Genomic DNA, 20297 nt, shown 5'->3' on the forward strand with positions numbered 1-20297 from the left:
ATATTTAACAGTCCATCTTAGAAAGTGTGTCTTTGTGTAAGAGAAGAAAAAGGGAAGTTAATCTATAATGAAGATCAACAGTAAAGAGGGAAGGAGTCTTCTTTGACATCCTTTAGTTATTTGCAGCATTTAGCAAAGCAGTGTAAGTTAGGGGGGAATAAAAGGCTAATCTGTAGTCAGGGAAATCAAGGCTATGTCTGCCTAGGTTACAGCTGCCTGTTAGTGACTGAGGTCCCAAAATCACATTCCTTTAAGGCTCAGAATAAAAGTTCCAAAATTTGGTTTTGAATTACTTATTTTCACACAATGAAAATATGAAGAATGACTGAGCATTGACAGGGAGATGAGTTCATTGGGTGGTATTATTTGCTTACTGCTTGTTTTTTGCCTACACTAATAAAAGTTGTCAATACTTGTGAGGATAGGGAACAGAAAAAAATGAAAAACTATACTTTAGTCCAGTAGTTCTCAGTGAGGTCACTGGATCAGAAACTCCATCATATAAGAACTTGTTAGAAGTGTGGATTATCTGGCCCCACCCAAGACTTAGTGAATCAGAAACCTTGGGGACGAGACCAGCAGCCTATGTTTTAAGAAACCTTCAAAGTAATTGTGATAACCTATTTCACCCCAGGGATTGGCAGTCTGCAGCCTATGGACCTAATCTGGTCTATAACCTGTTTTTTTGTAAGTAAAATTTTATTGAAACAAAACCATACCCATTTGTTCATTTTAGTTTGTGGATGCTTTTGTGCTACATCAGCAGAGTTGAGTAGCTGCAATAGAGAACATATAGCCAAAAGTATTTACCATCAGGTTCTTTACAGAAAAAGTTTGCTGACTCCTGCTTTAGGCCTTAGGCACTAGAGGCGCAAACTCTGAATTTATGAGGATATATTTGCTAATTAAATTGAGAACCATGAGGAAAAAAGGTGAAACTTTTCCTGTTTTTAAAAATTTTAACCTGTTATTTTTCCCTTTTAGTCAAGGATGCTATCTAAATGGGCCTTTTAATTCAAATCTACTGACTATCCCGAAGCAAAGGTCATCTTCTGTATCACTGACTCACCATGTAGGTCTCAGAAGAGCTGGTAAGAAATCATTCTTTATGACTCAAATATGGGGGTTCTCAAAGTATATGGTAGTGTAAACACTTTTCATCACATATTTATAGCTAATTTTGAATACAATTTCATGTATTATAAGTTAACATGACTTAGCAGTTTGGGTTGGCTACTAATTGACCGTTTGCTAATTCTTTCAGTAAAAACAGTTTTAGAACATCTACTCTGTACCAGGTATTTTGCTAAGCAGTAGGGATTCAGAGATAAAATATATAACTATTTAACTAACCTGAATGGTTGCAGACCCAGGACAAGGGAAAATCTTCAAGAAAGAGTATTTTTTTTTTTCATAGAATGATAATTGTGGAGAAAAAAATTTTAGGATTAGAATAGAAAAAACCATGACTTCATCCTGGAAAAACATTATGATAGGAATTTTTTTTAATTAAAAGATTATAGAATGATTAAAAACTCTTGGATGCAAGATATTTTAATAAATACAACATAGGAATAGCAAAGCAATACTGATATTGTGCTTTTAAAGTACATTATGGCTGATATCACATAGGTACAATTTTGTGATTGGGATATACAATTACAAAATTCTTTTATACACAATAACCTATAAAGCATGTGAAGAGATCAGAAAATATTATTGATAATCAAGAAAAGTAGGCACTAGAAAAAGATCTATATATGATATTGATGCTGTATTTTACAATCTTTAAAATAACAATGATGTTTAAAAGGAAATAGAAGGAATAATGGCCAAAATGAATGGATACTTCGAATAGAGAACTAGAACACATAGAAAAGAAATGGACAGTCTAGAACTGAGAAATGCACTTGATTAAATTAAAAGCTTATTCAAGGGTTTAAGAATGGATTGGATACAACAGAATACAAAAGTAGTGAACTTGAAGACAGAGAAATAGAAAATACCCAAACTGAAGCACAGAGAAGGAAAAATACATAAATAACAGAACAAAGTTTAAAAGACATATGGGACACAGAAGTTCTAAAATATGTGTGACTGAAGTTCCAGAAGGAAAGGAGAGAAACAAAAGGACAGAATAACTTCGCAAAACTAATAAAAGAAAGCAAACAACAAATTCATAAAGTGCAGTGAACCCCAAGCAGGATAAATACAAGAAAATCACAGCTAGATGTATGAATCAAGCCTCCAAATTATAAAGAAAAAGTTTCAAAAGCAACCAAGCAAGGTTGTTTTTATTTTTCAAGGAACAACAATAATGATATTGACAGTGACTTGTTAACAGCAACTGTGAACTCCAAAGACAATGGCATATTTGAAAAAGTGTGGAAAGAATAAAACTTGACAGCATAGAATTCTTTATCCAATGAAGAAATATTCTTGAAAAATTAAATAGGAATAAAAATTTTTTTTAGTATCCTCACTTCCCTGCAACAGTAACTGTGGTGATGGGTATGTTAATTAATTTGATTGTCATAATCATTTCACAGTAAAAATGTAAATCAAGTCATTATGTTGTACACCTTGAATACATGCAGTTTTTGTCAATTGTACCTCAGTAAATCTGGAAAAAATCTTTTAGTAAATCAGATGAGAAGTAGAAAAACGTACATTTTTTTCAAACAAACAAAAGCTGAAATAATTTGTAGCTGGCAGACCTGTGCTACTAAGATTCAGTAAAGGAAGTTTCTTAGGCAGGGGGAAAATTATCCAGATTGAAGCATGGAACTACAAGAACAAACCAAAAGCACTGGTAAGGCTAAATAGATGGGTGAGGATTAAAAAGTGTTGATGGGTCAAAAAGTTGGCAAAGGATATGAATAGACACTTCTCAAAAGAAGACATTTATGCAGCCAACAGACATAGGAAAAAATGCTCATTATCCCTGGTCATCAGAGAAATGCAAATCAAAACCACAATGAGATAATATCTCACGCCAGTTAGAATGGCGATCACTAAAAAGTCAGGAAACAACAGATGCTGGAGAGGAGGTGGAGAAATAGGAAGGCTTTTACACAGTTGGTGGGACTGTAAATTAGTTCAACCAGTGTGGAAGACAGTGTGGCGATTCCTCAAGGATCTAGAACAAGAAATACCATTTGACCCAGCAATCCCATTACTGGGTATATACCCAAAGGATTGTAAATCATGTGGCTGGGCGTGGTGGTGCACGCCTGTAATCCCAGCACTTTGGGAGGCCAAGGCAGGCGGATCATGAGGTCAGGAGATCGAGACCATGGTGAAACCCCGTCTCTACTAAAAATACAAAAAAAAAAAAAATCAGCTGGGCGTGGTGGCAGGCACCTGTAGTTGCAGCTACTCGGGAGGCTGAGGCAGGAGAATGGCATGAACCTGGAAGGCAGAGCTTGCTGTGAGCCGAGATCGTGCCACTGCACTCCAGCCTGGGTGACAGAGCAAGACTCTGTCTCAAAAAAAAAAAAATCATGCTACTATAAAGACACATGCACACGTATGTTTATTGTGGCAGTGTTCACAATAGCAAAGACTTGGAACCAACCCAAATGTCCATCAATAATAGACTGAATAAAGAAAATGTGAGGCCGGGCGCGGTGGCTCATGCCTGTAATCCCAGCACTTTGGGAGGCCGAGGCGGGCGGATCACGAGGTCAGGAGATCGAGACCATCCCGGCTAAAATGGTGAAACCCCGTCTCTACTAAAAATACAAAAAATTAGCCGGGCGTAGTGGCGGGCGCCTGTAGTCCCAGCTATTTGGGAGGCTGAGGCAGGAGAATGGCATGAACCCGGGAGGCGGAGCTTGCAGTGAGCCGAGATCCCACCACTGCACTCCAGCCTGGGCGACAGAGTGAGACTCCGTCTCAAAAAAAAAAAAAAAAAAAAAAGAAAAAAAAGAAAATGTGGCACATATACACCATGGAATACTATGCAGCCATAAAAAAGGATGAGTTCATGTCCTTTGCAGGGACGTGGATGAAGCTGGAAACCATCATTAGCAAACCATCACAAGAACAGAAAACTAAACACCGCATGTTCTCACTCATAAGTGGGAGTTGAAAAATGAGAACACATGGACACAGGGAGGGGAACATCACACACTGGGACCAATCTGAGGCTGGGGGGCTGGGGGAGGGATAGCGTTAAGAGAAATACCTAATGTATATGACGAGTTGATGCATGCAGCAAACCACCATGGCACGTGTATACCTATGTAGCAAACCTGCACATTGTGCACATGTACCCTAGAACTTAAAGTATAATAATAATAAAAAAATTGATGGGTAAACACAATAATAACTTTCTTTTAGCATTTATGAAATACATAAAAGTCAAATATATAACAATAGCATAGAGGGTAGTCAAGGGGTAAATGGAATTAAATTTGTCGTAAGGTACTAGCAATGCTTGAAAAACAGTAAAAAGTTCTAATTTAAGAGAAGCTAATATTCAAAGATGAACATTGTAGTATTCAGGGGGCCAATTAAAAGACCAGTAGAAAAAGATATAACTAAAAAGCTTATAAGGAGGTAAAATGGCATGATTAAAAAAAGCTTGAATAATTCAAAAGAATCTGAGAAAAGAAAAGCAAAAACAGAAGAAACACACAAAAAATAAATAGCAGCATGGTGGATTAAACACACTTTATTACATTAAATATACACCTTTGGGGTAGAGGAAGGGATCTGACTAGAGTTGTCAGTATATTATCTGAAATGTCAAGTTTTCAACAAAAATTGGACTTTACGCTCCAATTAAAAGACAAAGATTAGGCTGGGCACTGTGACTCACACTTGTAATCCCAGCACTTTGGGAGGCTCAGGTGGGTGGATCACCTGAGGTCAGGAGTTTGAGACCAGCCTGGCCAACATGGTGAAACCCCATCTCTACAAAATTCAAAAATACAAAATACAAAAATTAACCAGACGTGGTGGTGGGCGCCTGTAATCCCAGCTACTCGGGAGGTTGAGGCACGAGAATCGCTTGAACCCGGGAGACAGAGATTGCGGTGAGCCGAGATTGTGCCACTGCACTTGAGCCTGGACGACAAAGCGAGCCTTCGTCTCAAAAAAAAAAAAAAAAAAGTAATCTTCTGACTGCTCATTGGTTGATGTCCAAATTATACTGATCCCCCCAGGGATGACTTCTAGGAAACCATGCTTAAAAATATAATCAAAAACTTAAGAGAAAAAGCTAACAGAAAACTGAGTAACTACACATTGCAGGAGAAACAGAAACTACACAATTAGTTCAGGTAAGTCACTAAACAAATTATCAGAAAGAAGAAAACACAAAGCCAGCAACATAATAAACCTTTGGTGTTGGAGGGATCTGATATCAAAACTTTACAGTATTTTATGTAAAATGTACGATTTTCAAGAAAAATATGTGAAACATGCAAAGATACAAGAAATTTTTGACATGTACCCAAGGAAAACGTAACCCATAGAAATTATCCCTGAAGTGGATTGGATTTTAGACTTAGTATAAAACAAAACTGTAACATTGTTTTAATAATTATAAAGTAAGGCTACTTTTACTCAATATTGGATTAGAGGTTCTAGCCAGGGCAATTAGGTGAGAAGGAATAAAAGGAAAAAGTAAAATTGTATTTGCAGATGGCATGAGCTTGTATATGTAAAATCCTAAGAAATTCACTGAAACCTATTATCACCAATAAGTTTATCAATGTGGCAGGATATACAAAATCAATTTTATTTCTATATGCTAACATTAAGGAATCCAAAACTCAAGTTACAGAACGATTTCTGTTTACAGTTAGCATTGAAAAAATCTTTGAAATAAATTTAGCAAAATAGTACAAGACTTTTACAATGGAAACTATAAAATATTGTTGAAATTAAAGAAGACCTAAATATATTGGAAGACATTCCACGTTTAAGGATCAGAAGACTTAATATTATTAAGATGGCAATATTCTTTGAATTGCACTAGATTCGATACAGTCCTTATCAAAATTTCAGCTTTGCCAAAATTGACAGTCTGATGCTAAAATTCGTATAGAAACGCAAGAGTCCCAGAATAGCCAAAACAGTTCTTTAATAAAAAAGAAGAAAAAGTACGAGGACTCCCACTTTCAAATTTTAAAACTTACTACCAGGCTACAGTAATTTAGTATGGTACTGGCATAGAGATATTTCTATTCAATGAAATTCAATTTGGCAGTTTCTCAAATTTTAAACATGAAGTTACCATATGACCCAGAAATTCTACTTCTTGATATATATCCAAGAGAAGTGAAACCGTAGGTCCACACAAAAACTTGTGCATAAATGTGTATAGCAGCATTATTCATAATAGCTAAAATTAGAAACAACCTAAATGGCTATCAATAAATGGTTAAACAAAACGTGGCTTAACCATACAGTAGAATATTTTTTGTCACAAAAGTGAAATGGAGTAGTATTCATATGCCATGAATGAACCTTGAAAACATTATGCTAAGTTAAATAAGGCAGTCACAAAAGACTACAAATTGTACAAATCTACTCATATAAAATGTCTAAAATGGACAGATCTATAGATAGAGAAAGTATATTAGTGGTTGCTATGGTTTTAATGCTTGTGTACTTCCAAAATTCACATGTTGAAACCTAATCCCCAATGAGACAGTATTAAGAGATGGGGCCTTTTGGAGATGACTAAGCATGAGGTTGGAGCCTTTGTGAATGAGATTAGTGCTCTTATAAAAGAGGCCTGAGGAAGCTAGCTATCCTGTCAGCCATGTGAGGATACAGTGAAAAAAGTACCATCTGTGAGGCAGAAACTGAGCCCTAATCAGACATCAAGACTGCTGGCACCTTGGTCTTGGACTTCCCAGCCTCCAAAAACTGTGAGCAGCCAAGTTCTATTGTTTACAAATTGCCCAGACTAAAGTATTTTTTTTTTTTAGGTGGTATAGATGGAATTTTAATACAGTGAAAGAAAATAGGGAGTACTGAGTTAATGGTTTTGGGTCATCTTTATAATTATCTGGTAGAAGACTGAATTTCCATCTTACATATTATATACACAGAAATCTACAGATTGGCTACAATTTAGGTGTTCAAAATGGGAATTAAAAGTATTATAAAAGCATATAAGATTCAGAAAGTTTAAATAGATAAATATTTTCTAATAATAAAACCATTAAAAGTTGATAACATTTTTTTTTCTTTTATTTATTATTATACTTTAAGTTTTAGGGTACATGTGCCCAATGTACAGGTTAGTTACATATGTATACATGTGCCATGCTGGTGCGCTGCACCCACTAACTCGTCATCTAGCATTAGGCATATCTCCCAATGCTATCCCTCCCCCCTCCCCCCACCCCACAACAGTCCCCAGAGTGTGATGTTCCCCTTCCTGTGTCCATGTGTTCTCATTGTTCAATTCCCACCTACAAGTGAGAATATGCAGTGTTTGGTTTTTTGTTCTTGCGATAGTTTACTGAGAATGATGATTTCCAATTTCATCCATGTCCCTACAAAGGACATGAACTCATCCTTTTTTATGGCTGCATAGTATTCCATAGTGTATATGTGCCACATTTTCTTCATCCAGTCTATCATTGTTGGACATTTGGGTCGGTTCCAAGTCTTTGCTATTGTGAATAATGCCGCAATAAACATACGTGTGCATGTGTCTTTATAGCAGCATGATTTATAGTCCTTTGGGTATATACCCAGTAATGGGATGGCTGGGTCAAATGGTATTTCTAGTTCTAGATCCCTGAGGAATCGCCACACTGACTTCCACAATGGTTGAACTAGTTTACAGTCCCACCAACAGTGTAAAAGTGTTCCTATTTCTCCACATCCTCTCCAGCACCTGTTGTTTCCTGACTTTTTAATGACTGCCATTCTAACTGGTGTGAGATGGTATCTCATTGTGGTTTTGATTTGCATTTCTCGGATGGCCAGTGATGATGAGCATTTTTTCATGTGTTTTTTGGCTGCATAAATGTCTTCTTTTGAGAAGTGTCTGTTCATGTCCTTTGCCCACTTGTTGATGGGGTTGTTTGTTTTTTTCTTGTAAATTTGTTTGAGTTCATCATAGATTCTGGATATTAGCCCTTTGTCAGATGAGTAGGTTGTGAAAATTTTCTCCCATTTTGTAGGTTGCCTGTTCACTCTGATGGTAGTTTCTTTTGCTGTGCAGAAGCTCTTGAGTTTAATTAGATCCCATTTGTCAATTTTGGCTTTTGTTGCCATTGCTTTTGGTGTTTTAGACATGAAGTCCTTGCCCATGCCTATGTCCTGAATGGTAATGCCTAGGTTTTCTTCTAGGGTTTTTGTGGTTTTAGGTCTAACGTTTAAGTCTTTAATCCATCTTGAATTGATTTTTGTATAAGGTGTAAGGAAGGGATCCAGTTTCAGCTTTGTACATATGGCTAGCGAGTTTTCCCAGCACCATATTAAATAGGGAATCCTTTCCCCATTGCTTGTTTTTCTCAGGTTTGTCAAAGATCAGATAGTTGTAGATATGCGGCGTGATTTCTGAGGGCTCTGTTTTGGTACCAGTACCATGCTGTTTTGGTTACTGTAGCCTTGTAGTATAGTTTGAAGTCAGGTAGTGTGATGCCTCCAGCTTTGTTCTTTTGGCTTAGGATTGGCTTGGCGATGTGGGCTCTTTTTTGGTTCCATATGAACTTTAAAGTAGTTTTTTCCAATTCTGTGAAGAAAGTCATTGGTAGCTTGATGGGGATGGCATTGAATCTGTAAATTACCTTGGGCAGTATGGCCATTTTCACAATATTGATTCTTCCTACCCATGAGCATGGAATGTTCTTCCATTTGTTTGTATCCTCTTTTATTTCCTTGAGCAGTGGTTTGTAGTTCTCCTTGAAGAGGTCCCTCACGTCCCTTGTAAGTTGGATTCCTAGGTATTTTATTCTCTTTGAAGCAATTGTGAATGGGAGTTCACTCATGATTTGGCTCTGTGTTTGTCTGTTATTGGTGTATAAGAATGCTTGTGATTTTTGTACATTGATTTTGTATCCTGAGACTTTGCTGAAGTTGCTTATCAGCTTAAGGAGATTTTGGGCTTTTTTTTATAGCAAGTTGAATGAACTAAGACAGTGGTCCCTTGTGACTATGGGTAGGAGCGACAGGAATAGAGAATGACTGCTAATGGGTCTATGGTTTCTTTTTGAGTTTATGGAAATATTCCAGAATTAGATAGTGGTGATAGTTGCACAACTCTGTGGATTTCTAAAATTCAGTGAATTGTACAATTTAAAATAGTAAATTGTATGGTATATGAATGATATCTTAAAAGGCTGTTTAAAAAACACGTAAGCATGTTCTGTCACCACAGTGGAATTAGATTTGAAAACATCTCTCAATAGATCTGCAGAAAATCCTCAAATTATAAATAACCTATGGGTCAAAGAAGAAAAAGCAATGAAAATCAGAAAATATTTTGAGCTGAATAATAATGAAAATAGGACTTATTAAAATGTCGGAAGAAGCTAAAGCAGTGCTTTCTTGGGAAATTTATAGCAAAAAAAGAGAAAAATTAAAAATCTGTTAAGCTTACATTTTAAGAAGCTATAAGTTTCACAGCAAAGTAAACCAAAAGAAAGAAGAAAACATGACACTGATACAAAAAGATTACACTGATACAAAAATGATAAAAAATCTGAAGAGTCATATATCTTCTAACGAAATTAAACCTGTAGTTAAAAACCTTCTTACAAATAAAATTGTAGGTCCAGATGACTTTACTGGTAAATTCTTCCCTATATTTAACGAAAATGTTGTTATGAAAGGTTATATCCAATGCCTTAGTTTTCTATAGCTGCTTGCTGTAAACTGCATATTCATATCTCCTCACTTACACCCCAATTCATGTGTTGAAACCTAATCCTCAGTGTGATGGTATTTGGAGCTGGGGCCTTTGGAATGTGATTAGGTCATGTGAGTGGACTCTTCATGAATGGGATGAGTGCCTTATAAAAGAGACCTCAAAGAGCTCTCTAATCCCTTCCGCCATGTGAGGACACGAGAAGATGGCCGTCAGTGAACCAGGAAGTGGGCCATCATCAGACACCACATCTGCCAGTGCCTTGATCTTGCACTTCCCAGCCTCCAGAACTGTGAGAATAAATTTCTCTTATTTATAAAATACCTAGTCTATGGTATTTTGTTATAGCAATCCAAAGGGACTAACACACTACTGTATCAAATTACCATATGCTTAGTGACTTAAATAACACAAATTTATACTTATAATTCTGGAGGTCAGAAGTTTAAAATTGATCTCATTGGGCCCAAAGCAAGGTGTCAGCAGGGCTATGTGTCTTCTGGAGGCTTTAGGGGGTAATCCATTTTCTTTGCATTTTCCAGTTTCCAGAGGCCTTCCTAGAGCTTGCCTGCCTGGATTCCTGGCCCATGGCCCCATTACTCCATCTTCATTGCCAGCAATGTCAGTCTGAATCCTGACGCTGCCATCTCTCTGGCTCTTTTATGTCTGCCTCTCTCTTTTACTTAGGCATAGGACTTAGCCGTGTGTGACTCCTGTAATGACAAGAACCCTTGTCATTACATTGAGCACAACTACATAATCCAGGATAATCTCCCCATCTCAAGGTTAGCTGATCAGCAACCTTAAGGCCATTTGCAATTTAAATATCCCTTTGCCATGCAATCTAACATATAGGTTCTGTGGTTTAGGATATGGACATCTTTGGGGGTGATTATTCTGCTTACCACAGCCAATCTTACACAACTCTTTCACTGAAAAGGGAAAGAGGAAACACCAGTTTTTTATGAGGCCAGCATAACCCTAATATTGAAACCTGACAAGGATATTACAAGTAAATTAGAGGCCAACATCTCTTGTGAATATAGATACAAAAATCCTAAACAAAAAGTTACACATATAATTGAGTAATATATTAAAATGATAATACCATAATGTTCATGTTGGGAAGTATTATTACAGGAATATAAAGTCTGTTTAACCTTTGAAAATTCACTGCATTAATAGAATAAAAGAGAATACTCATATGGTCATCTTAATTGGTACAGAGAAAGCTTTTCATGTATGTTCATTTGATAAATTTGATAATTATGATAAAAAATTATAAGCAAATTGGGAATAGAGGGGACATTTTTAATCTGATAAAGTATCTATCAAAAATGTTTTTCAAACATAATACATAATGAAATACTGAACATTTTTCTCCTGACTTTGGAAACAAGATAAAGATGTTCACTGTAAATACTTGTCTCCAACATTATCCTGTAATTTCTAGACAATGAATGAAGACAAGATAAAGAAAAGGAATAAATATTGGAAAGGAAGATATAAACCCTTTTATTTATTTGCAGATTACCATTTTGTATACATGGAAAATCTAGAAGGCTCTAAAAATATAGTAATAGAATTAATAAGTAAATTTTGCAATATTTTAATTGTACAGAAAAATTAATTATATTACTCTATACTATCAGAAAATGGTTAAAATGAAATTTAAAACACCATTTACCACAGCATCAAAAGCCACCAATTACGTAGAGATAAATTTAATAAAAAATATGCAATGCTGCTACACTCCATAACTTCAGGGAAAAATTTCCGTAACAAGACATAAAAATACTTACCATATGGGATTAGATGAATAAATTTGACTACATGAACATTAATAACCTCTTTATTGAAAAAAGTCATATAAAGGCCAGGCATGGTGGCTCACGCCTGTAATCTCAGCACTTAGGGAGGCTGAGGCTGGTGGATCATTTGAGGTCAGGAGTTCGAGGCCAGCCTCGTCAACATGGTAAGACCCCATCTCTACTAAAAACACAAAAAAATTAGCTGGGCGTGGTGGCGGGCACCTGTAGTCCCAGCTACTTGGGAAAGCTGAGGCAGGAGAATGGCATGAACCCGGGAGGTGGAGCTTGCAGTGAGCTGAGATCTGAGATCACGCCACTGTACTCCAGCCTGGGCAACTGAGTGAGACTCCATCTCAAAAAAAGAAAAAAAAAAAAAGCTAGGTGTAGTGGCGGGTGCCTGTAATCCCAGCTATTTGGGAGGCTGAGGCAGGAGAATTGCTTGAACCCAACAGATGGAGGCTGCAGTGAGCCCAGAGTGCACCACTGTACTCCGGCCTGGGCGATAGAGTGAGACTCCATCAAAAAAAAAAGTCATATAAAAAGAATTGAAAATAGTAACAACATCTGAGAAGGAACTAGAATTCAGCTGTATAAAGAACTTTGTCAGTGGAAGAATTATGGACAACTATTCATTTTCTATTGCTGCATATCAGATTACAACAAATGTAGCAGCTTTTGTGCAAGAGTCCACACACAGCTGAGTCCTCTGCTTGAGGTGTCATAAGTCTCAAAACAAGATGTTGGCTCTACCTTGTTCTCATCTGGAGAATCAGCTGGGAATGAATCGGCTGCCAAGCTCATTCAGGTTGTCCTCAGGTTGTTCTTCATTTCCGTTGGTTGTGGATTCTTGATGGCTCTGGGTTCTTGATGGCTATTGGCTGGGGGCCACCCACAGTTCGTAGAGGCTGCCCATAGTTTTTTGTCACATGGTCTTCCTCAGTATGGCTGCTTACTTCATGGAGCTAGCAAGAAGAATCTCTAGAGTGAGTCTCTAGCAAGATGGAATTCATAATGAAACATAATCATAGGGGTGACATCCTGTCATCTTTCTTTTGATAAGAAGCTAGTCACAGGTGTTTTCTACACAAAGACATGAACACCAGGGGGCAAGGGTTAATGCTACCTTAGAGTGTGTCCATCACCACAAGCCAATAGAAAAATTAGCAAAAGACTTGAATGAGGATTTCAGAAAAAAAACTATACAAATAGCATATAAACATGAAATGTGCTTAACCTTATTAGTAATGAGGAAATTAAAAAGTAAAGGTACGGTGCTCTTTTATTTATCATCAGATTGGCAAAAGATAAAGAACATTATATTTATACACACACACACACACACACACACACACACACGCAGAGAAAGAGAGAGAAAGTTTGTTTTAAGGGATTGGCTCACACAACTGTGTGGGCTTGCAAGGCAAGCAAGTAGGAAGTTTTCAGGACAGGCTGGCAGGCTGAAAATTCCAGCAGGGTTAATGTTGCAGTCTTGAACCTGAGACAAAATTTTTTCCTCTTTATGAGACCTCAGTCTTTTCTCATAAGGCCCTAAGCTAATTGGATGAGGCCCACCCATGTTATGGAAATTAATCTGCTTTACTCAAAGTTTATTGATTTAAATGTTAATCACATCTGAAAAATATCTTCACAACAACATCTATACTAGTGTTTGAATAAACAACTGAGCACCATAACCAAGTTGACACCATCGCACACATCTGTAAGTGTTTACCACTATGCCTGAAAATATTGTAGCTCCTTAATGACTGTTACTTGTTTTCCTTTCTGAATGAGACTTTACTTGGGTCTTTATTTTCAAATAAGGTTATAAATCTGCCTGCATCTTTCCAGATATACCCACACTGCTTTAGTTTGAGGCACTCAGCAAAGGTTTCTGGAATAAATAGACAGAATTATAGACTCATCTTATGTGTTCCTGAAGCACTCTGTTTTGTTCCCTTATTAAGCACTTAGCACTTGTTTGTATTCTTCACTACACTCTAGCTTCATTGAATTTCAGGGATGGTATCTTTTTCTTCATTGTGAAAACCAGTATATTTTCCAGCATATAGTAAGCTCTAAATATTTGTTGAATGAATGAATGAGCTGGAAATACTTTCATGTAATTTTTAAAGCGATCTGACATTGCATTAACATATGATGTTATTCTCAACTTGCTTAAATGCTATTAAGAATTTTAGTTCTTACTTTTACACTGTTGGTGGGACTATAAACTAGTTCAACCATTGTGGAAGATAGTGTGGCAATTCCTCAAGGATCTAGAACTAGAAATACCTTTTGACCCAGCCATCCCATTACTGGGTATATACCCAAAGGATTATAAGTCATGCTGCTGTAAAGACACATGCACACCTGTGTTTATTGCGGCACTATTCACAGTAGCAAAGACTTGGAACCAACCCAAATGTCCATCAGTGATAGACTGGATTAAGAAAATGTGGCACATACACACCATGGAATACTGTGCAGCCATAAAAAAGGATGAGTTCATGTCCTTTGCAGGGACATGGATGAAGCTGGAAACCATCATTCTGAGCAAGCTATCGCAAGGACAGAAAACCAAACACCATATGTCCTCACTCATAGGTGGGAATGAACAATGAGAACACTTGGACACAGGGTGGGGAACATCACACACTGGGGCCTATAGTGGGGTGGGGGGACGGGGGATGGATAGCATTAGGAGATATACCTAATGTAAATGATGAGTTAATGGGTGCAGCACACCAACATGGCACATGTATACATATGTAACAAACCTGCACATTGTGCACATGTACCTTAGAACTTAAAGTATAATTAAAAAAGAAAAAAAAAGAATTTTAGTTCTTTGGCCAGATGCAGTGGCTTAAGCTTGTAATCCCAGCATTTTGGGAGGCTGAGGCAGGAGGATGACTTGAGCCCAGGTGTTTGAGACCAGCCTGGGCAACATCTTGAAACCCTGTCTCTACAGAAAAATAGGTAAATTAGCTGGGCACGGTGGCCTGTGCCTGTAGTCTCCAAGGCCAGAGGATCAATTGAACCCAGGAGGTTGAGTCTGCAGTGAGCCATGATTGTGCCACTGGAATCCAGCCTGGGCAATGAAATGAGACCCCATCTCACAGACAAAAAAAGAGAATTTAAATAAAATTTAATTTTATTGAATTGAAAATAATTCAATAAAATTTGGTAGAGATGCTTTGCTCTTGTGGATAATCAATCTGATAGGGACACATAGGTGAAAGTTAAAGACCAATAGGAATTAGGAAAATTTCTGCCATACAGTATGTATGTTTTAGTCATACTGTTCACATTTACCTATTATAAATGTAGATATTTACCCAACAAGGGGTGTTTACCCAACAGCCATTGATCATGACAAATATGGCAAATATTGCATAAGTTTCTAGAATATTGTGAGGCCCCATGCAGGAATTTATAATTTATTTGTAAATAATCTGCTTTTTTTAAATAAGGAAAAAATCCATAAAAACACAAATATATTTAATAAACATACACACATAAATACATTCTTATTTATCTATCTCCTTTCTTTTAATTTTTAAAGGTGTTTTGTCCAGTCTGAGTCCTGTGAATTCTTCCAACCATGGACCAGTGTCTACTGGCTCTCTAACTAATCGATCACCCATAGAATTTCCTGATACTGCTGATTTTCTTAATAAGCCAAGCGTTATCTTGCAGAGATCTCTGGGCAATGCACCTAATACTCCAGATTTTTATCAGCAACTTAGAAATTCTGATAGCAATCTGTGTAACAGGTAAGTTTCCCAACTGTTTATTATTTCTGTTTCAAAATGTTGATTACAGTTAAGTCCTCAACATTTTGGATAGGTTCTTGGAAACTCCAGCTTTAAGCTAAATGACCATAGTTTTTTTCGGTGTTATAATGAAATGACATTATTTTAAGATGTGCTATAAGTTGTTTCACTTAAAATGTCAGTTTTCAAAAACTTATTGATGATATTGAGGACTTTACTGTATTTTAATAAAGTATTACCAGTTTTCTAGTTCTATGTTATAACTAGATGATGGATTCAGCCTATATTCTTTTCCTTATTTATCTAGTAGTTTTTATTCTAAATAAATATCTTCTCATTTTAGTGGTTATTAATTTTTTAAATTAAATGGTCTCCATCTGAGCTAAAATATAATGGTATTCTACCCATCCTAAGATCTTAGTAAATATTAAAGTATTTTAGTATACACTACTTTAGTACCTATTCATAGTACCCAGTAAATGGTGTTTGATCTTATTTCTGCTTTACTAATAGTAAGGGTTTACCTCAGATCCAATGTTGACTTTTCAAAAATATTTTGTTTCCTTCAAGGACACACAGATACTTTCTAGGTTAAAGCCTTTGAACTTTATGGAGAGATTGGAATTTTAGGATGCGTTGCAGTTGGGATCTTGGTTAAAAATTAAACAGATTTTCTAATTGTGTTCAGGTAAAAAACTTGTACCTCATTTACCGTATATATTTATCTATTTTATTCTATAAGCTGTGGACATCAAATGCTGAAATATGTTTCAACATCTGAATCAGATGGTACAGATTGCTGCAGTGGAAAATCAGGTGAGATTACAAAAGTCATATGTATTTGAGTTTAAGAGAAATTTCTTACAATGATTTTTAGAATGGGAAAATGAATGAGTTTAACTTCAGTTTATCCATCTTTAAAATGAAGATTATTATTTTTTACCCACTTCACAGAGGACTTATTTAGAACAAATTATAAGTAATAGATGGTGAAAGTAATTCAAAGAATAAAAATGTCCCATACAAATGAATGTAGTCTTCTTAGGTTATGTCTATTGTTTATAAATAGTGGAATTATTTATATTAAACATTGAAATTTGTAGTGCACAATCTAAATCCAAACGGTTTTGCATAAATTTTTTATGGCATAAAGAGGGGTTGTTTTAAAGTGTGGTTAATTATATCATTCTGAAATATTTTGTATCCTCATACAAGACATATTGTGTTGATGAAATTATAGTTGTTTTATAACCTTAAAATTTGATGACTCAAACTACCAGTAGTAGTTAACTAAGTAACTCAGACCAACATTTCCCCTGAGGGCAGCTAGAAAAGGTGGATGAATTATTTTTTTAAAAAAAATCTACTTGAAGCCATTGAAGAACTAAAAAAATCTTATGAATCACCAGTACAAGATCTGTTGGAAGACAGAACTCCAAGAAAGTGAGCCTGGAGTTTGGGGCTATCAAAAGAGTGTATGCCAATTCCACAGAGACCAATGACTGATAGGATGAGCAATTTTATTAGCAGCTTCATGGGGCTAGGAAGACAGAGGCTAGAGTTGAAGGCTTGCCATGGTTTGGATAACTTGATAAACTCTAAAGTGTTGTATCCTAAGAAAAAAGTTAAACCAAAAATAGATAAGCCTTTTCAGGGATTATAGGTTCTTCTCAATCCCTTTACATACCATAAAACTTACCCTTTTAAAGTGTGCAATTTAATAGTTTTTTGTTTTTTACATTTTAAAGGATTGTTAACAAATAAAATAAAATAAAAAGACTAATTCTTCACAAACTCTTCCAAAAAATAGAAGAGGAGGGAACACTTCCCAACTCATTCTTTTTTTTTTTTTTGTATATCATTACAATGGAATTCAGTTCAGCAATTAAAGGAATAAACTTCTGATACATGCTGCAACATAGATGAACTTCAAAACATTATTCTAAGTGAAAGAAGCCAGGCCCAAAAGATCATATATTATATGATTACATTTATATGAAATTCTTGAAAGACAAATTTATAGAGACAATAATCAGAACAGTTGTTGCATAAAGTGAGAATAGGGATTAACTATAAATAGGCATGAAGGAACATTTTGGGTGGGGGTGTTGAGAATGTTCTAAAATTGGATTGTAATGATTGTTGATAACTGCAAATATACTAAAATTGTTAAATTGTACACTTGTGGGCTGGATGTTTGTGTTCCTCCAAAAATTCATGTGTCGAAATCCTATACCCTGATATGACGGTATTGGGAGGTAAGGCCTTTGGGAGGTAATTAGGTCATGAAGGTGGATCCTTCATGAATGGGATTAGTTCCCTTATAAAAGAACCCCAGAAAACTCTCTTTCCCACCCTCTTTCCCACCGTGTGAGGATACAATGTGAAATCGGTAGTCTGCAATACTGGAACTTGGCCAGGCTGGCACCCTGATATCAGACGTCCAGCTTCCCTAACTGTGAGAAATAAATTCCTATTTTTTTATAAGCCACTCAGTCTGTAGTATCCAATTATAGCAGCCTGAACTAAGGCATTTTACAATGGGTAGATTTTAATGGTATGTAATTTATACTCAATAAAGTTTTTAAAAAGAACAATAATTTATTAAGTGTCATATTTCTTTGGGTGGACTAGCCTCAACTGGGAGATTCTCACCTGAGGACTTTGATGAGATTGCAGTCAGTGCAGTCAGATATTGGTTGGGGAAGCAGTTATCTGAAGGATTGATTGGGCAGAATTTCCAAGATGGGTTACTCATGTGCCTTTTGGCTATTGACCAGTCCATCTAAATATGACCCCTCCATGGGCTTCTTCAGTTTGTTGGCAGCATTCCAAGAGAGTAGGAAGTGGAAACTACCAGTTCAGTTAATGGCTGAACTCAGAACAGAGTGTCACTTCTGCCATATTCTGTTATCAGAGCAGTCATGAGGCCTGTTGAGATTCCAGAGGGTTGGTAAATAAATGCTCTGTCTTGATAGAGGAGTGACAAGAATACATTTCAGAAAAGTGTTTGGGACAAGAGATAGTGTTGTAGACATCTTTAGAAAGAAATGCTTCATTTACCTCACCTGTTTTTATTATTATCTGTAAGATAATAGTTATTAGGAGTTCATATCATTAAAAAGTAAATTATGTAATATACCTCAAGTGCAAACAACTTTTAGATTAACTTCTATTTTAGAATATCATTGTAGTTATTGCCTTACCTTACCAAGAATACTCGAATAGTCTAAATTTAATTTCTTAGACTAATTTTTTTCATTTGGAAAAAATAATATTTTCTAAACAGTAATACTTCCAGATCATCATCTAATCAATTAATGATTGGTATATTCATTGTATTAAGTTGAGATTATACTGACATTTATTAATCACCTATTATGTATAACATCTTGTAAGATGGGTATTATTATCCAAATTTTACAGGGGAGAAAGCTTGCCATTATTAAGTACGAAAATCAGGATTTGAACCTAGTTTTCTGAAACTCAACTCCAATGATTACTCTTAAGAATTTTTTTTTTTTTTTTTGAGACAGAGTCTTACTCTGTCATCCAGGCTAGAGAGTACAGTGGCACAATCATGGCTCACTGCAGCTTCCAACTCCTGGGCTCAAGCAATCTTCCCTCCTCAGTCTTCTGAGTAGTTGGGACTACAGCACCATGCCCGGCTAATTAAAAAAATTTTTTTTTGTAGAGATGAGAACTCGCTCTGTTGCCCAGGCCAGTCCCAAACTTTTGGCTTCAAGTGATCCTCCCGCCTTGGCCTCCCAAAGCACTAGGATTATAGGTATGAGCTGTTATGCCTGGCCAAGATCTCTTTTTACAAAAAAACAAACAAAACTCTACATATTGAGCTTATAGCATGTAATTATCATATAATCAGCACCCAGATCCAGAAACAAAATAAGAGGCTGGCCAAAATGGCCAACTAGAAGCAGCTAATGTGCACTGCTGTCATGGAGAGAAATAGAAGGGGTGAGTACATACAGCACCTTCAACTGAAACATACATGTACACATGTTGGGATTCATCAAGAAAACAACCCACAGAGAATGTAGAAAAGCAAGGCAGGATGACTGCCCACCTGGGAGTGACACGGAGCCAGGGGAGCCTCCCTCGCCCAGGGAAGCATGAGTAAGTGGGCAACCCTGGGGACCCATGCTTCTCCCATAGGTCTTTGCAACCCTTGAGTCAGGAGACCCTCCTCGTAAACCCACTGCACCAGGGCTTGCAGTCTGATATGCAGAGCTCTGTGGCATCTTGGCAGAGTAGCTGCTCAGGCACATGTGGAGCCCCAGGAGCTATAGATACTTGGGTTTCTAGGCAAAAGCAGCTGCAACTTGGCAAAGTAGGAGGTTAGACCCCCATACAGACCCCTAAGAAGTAGCTGAATTCAGGGGTCTGAGCAGCAATGGTCTTCAGGTCCCATGTCCACAGCACCTTGCAGGATAAGACCACTAGCTTGGAACTCCAGCCAGCCACTGGTAGCAGTGTTGATGGAGCTCCCAGAGGGAGGGGTAGGCTACCATCTTTGCTGTTTTGCAGCCTTAGCCATTGTTGCCTTCAGTGTAACCACCCTACAAAAATGCAGCCAGCTTGCTTTTTTATGTGGGTCCCTGACCTCTCTTCTCCTCACTGGGCAGGACCTCCCAACCAAGGTAACCAGCCACTCTTGCCACTGTTTTTCAGCTGGCAGTGGTTCCGAGCCTCCCTGAGATAGTGCTCCCGGGGGAGGGACAGGCCGCCATCTTTGCTGTTTCACAGCCTTAGCCATTGTTGCCTTCTGGCTCTAGGAAGTCCAAGGTGACTAGGTACTGGAGCCGTCTCTCACCGCAGCACAGTAGCTCTATGGGAAAGCAGCTA

General features: G+C 37.0%; 1 protein-coding gene across 11 annotated transcripts in view, besides 1 other annotated feature; it reads left to right on the forward strand.

Moving 5' to 3' along the window:
- The window catches only part of PDE3B (phosphodiesterase 3B), a 255518-nt gene that overhangs the window by 159156 nt on the left and 76065 nt on the right, over positions 1-20297 (forward strand). For all 11 annotated transcript variants that reach the window (NR_190763.1, NR_190764.1, NR_190766.1 and 8 more), the window contains 3 exons: positions 985-1091; positions 15224-15434; positions 16177-16250. Coding sequence is in view for 7 of the 11 variants with exons in the window: in NM_001429700.1 (NP_001416629.1) it covers positions 985-1091; positions 15224-15434; positions 16177-16250 (392 nt within the window). In the remaining 4 variants the exon portion in view is untranslated. The remainder of the gene's footprint in view (positions 1-984; positions 1092-15223; positions 15435-16176; positions 16251-20297) is intronic.
- Positions 14282-14457: a silencer, noted in NCBI's record as "fragment chr11:14838787-14838962 (GRCh37/hg19 assembly coordinates)". NCBI's record gives its function as "represses an EF-1alpha promoter that drives an FKBP-Casp9 reporter gene in an ReSE screen in K562 erythroleukemia cells {active_cell/tissue: K562}" and the evidence as "EXISTENCE:reporter gene assay evidence [ECO:0000049][PMID:32094911]".

The sequence above is a fragment of the Homo sapiens genome, chromosome 11 (assembly GCF_000001405.40).
Source record: "Homo sapiens chromosome 11, GRCh38.p14 Primary Assembly".
NCBI classification, from domain to species: domain Eukaryota; kingdom Metazoa; phylum Chordata; class Mammalia; order Primates; family Hominidae; genus Homo; species Homo sapiens.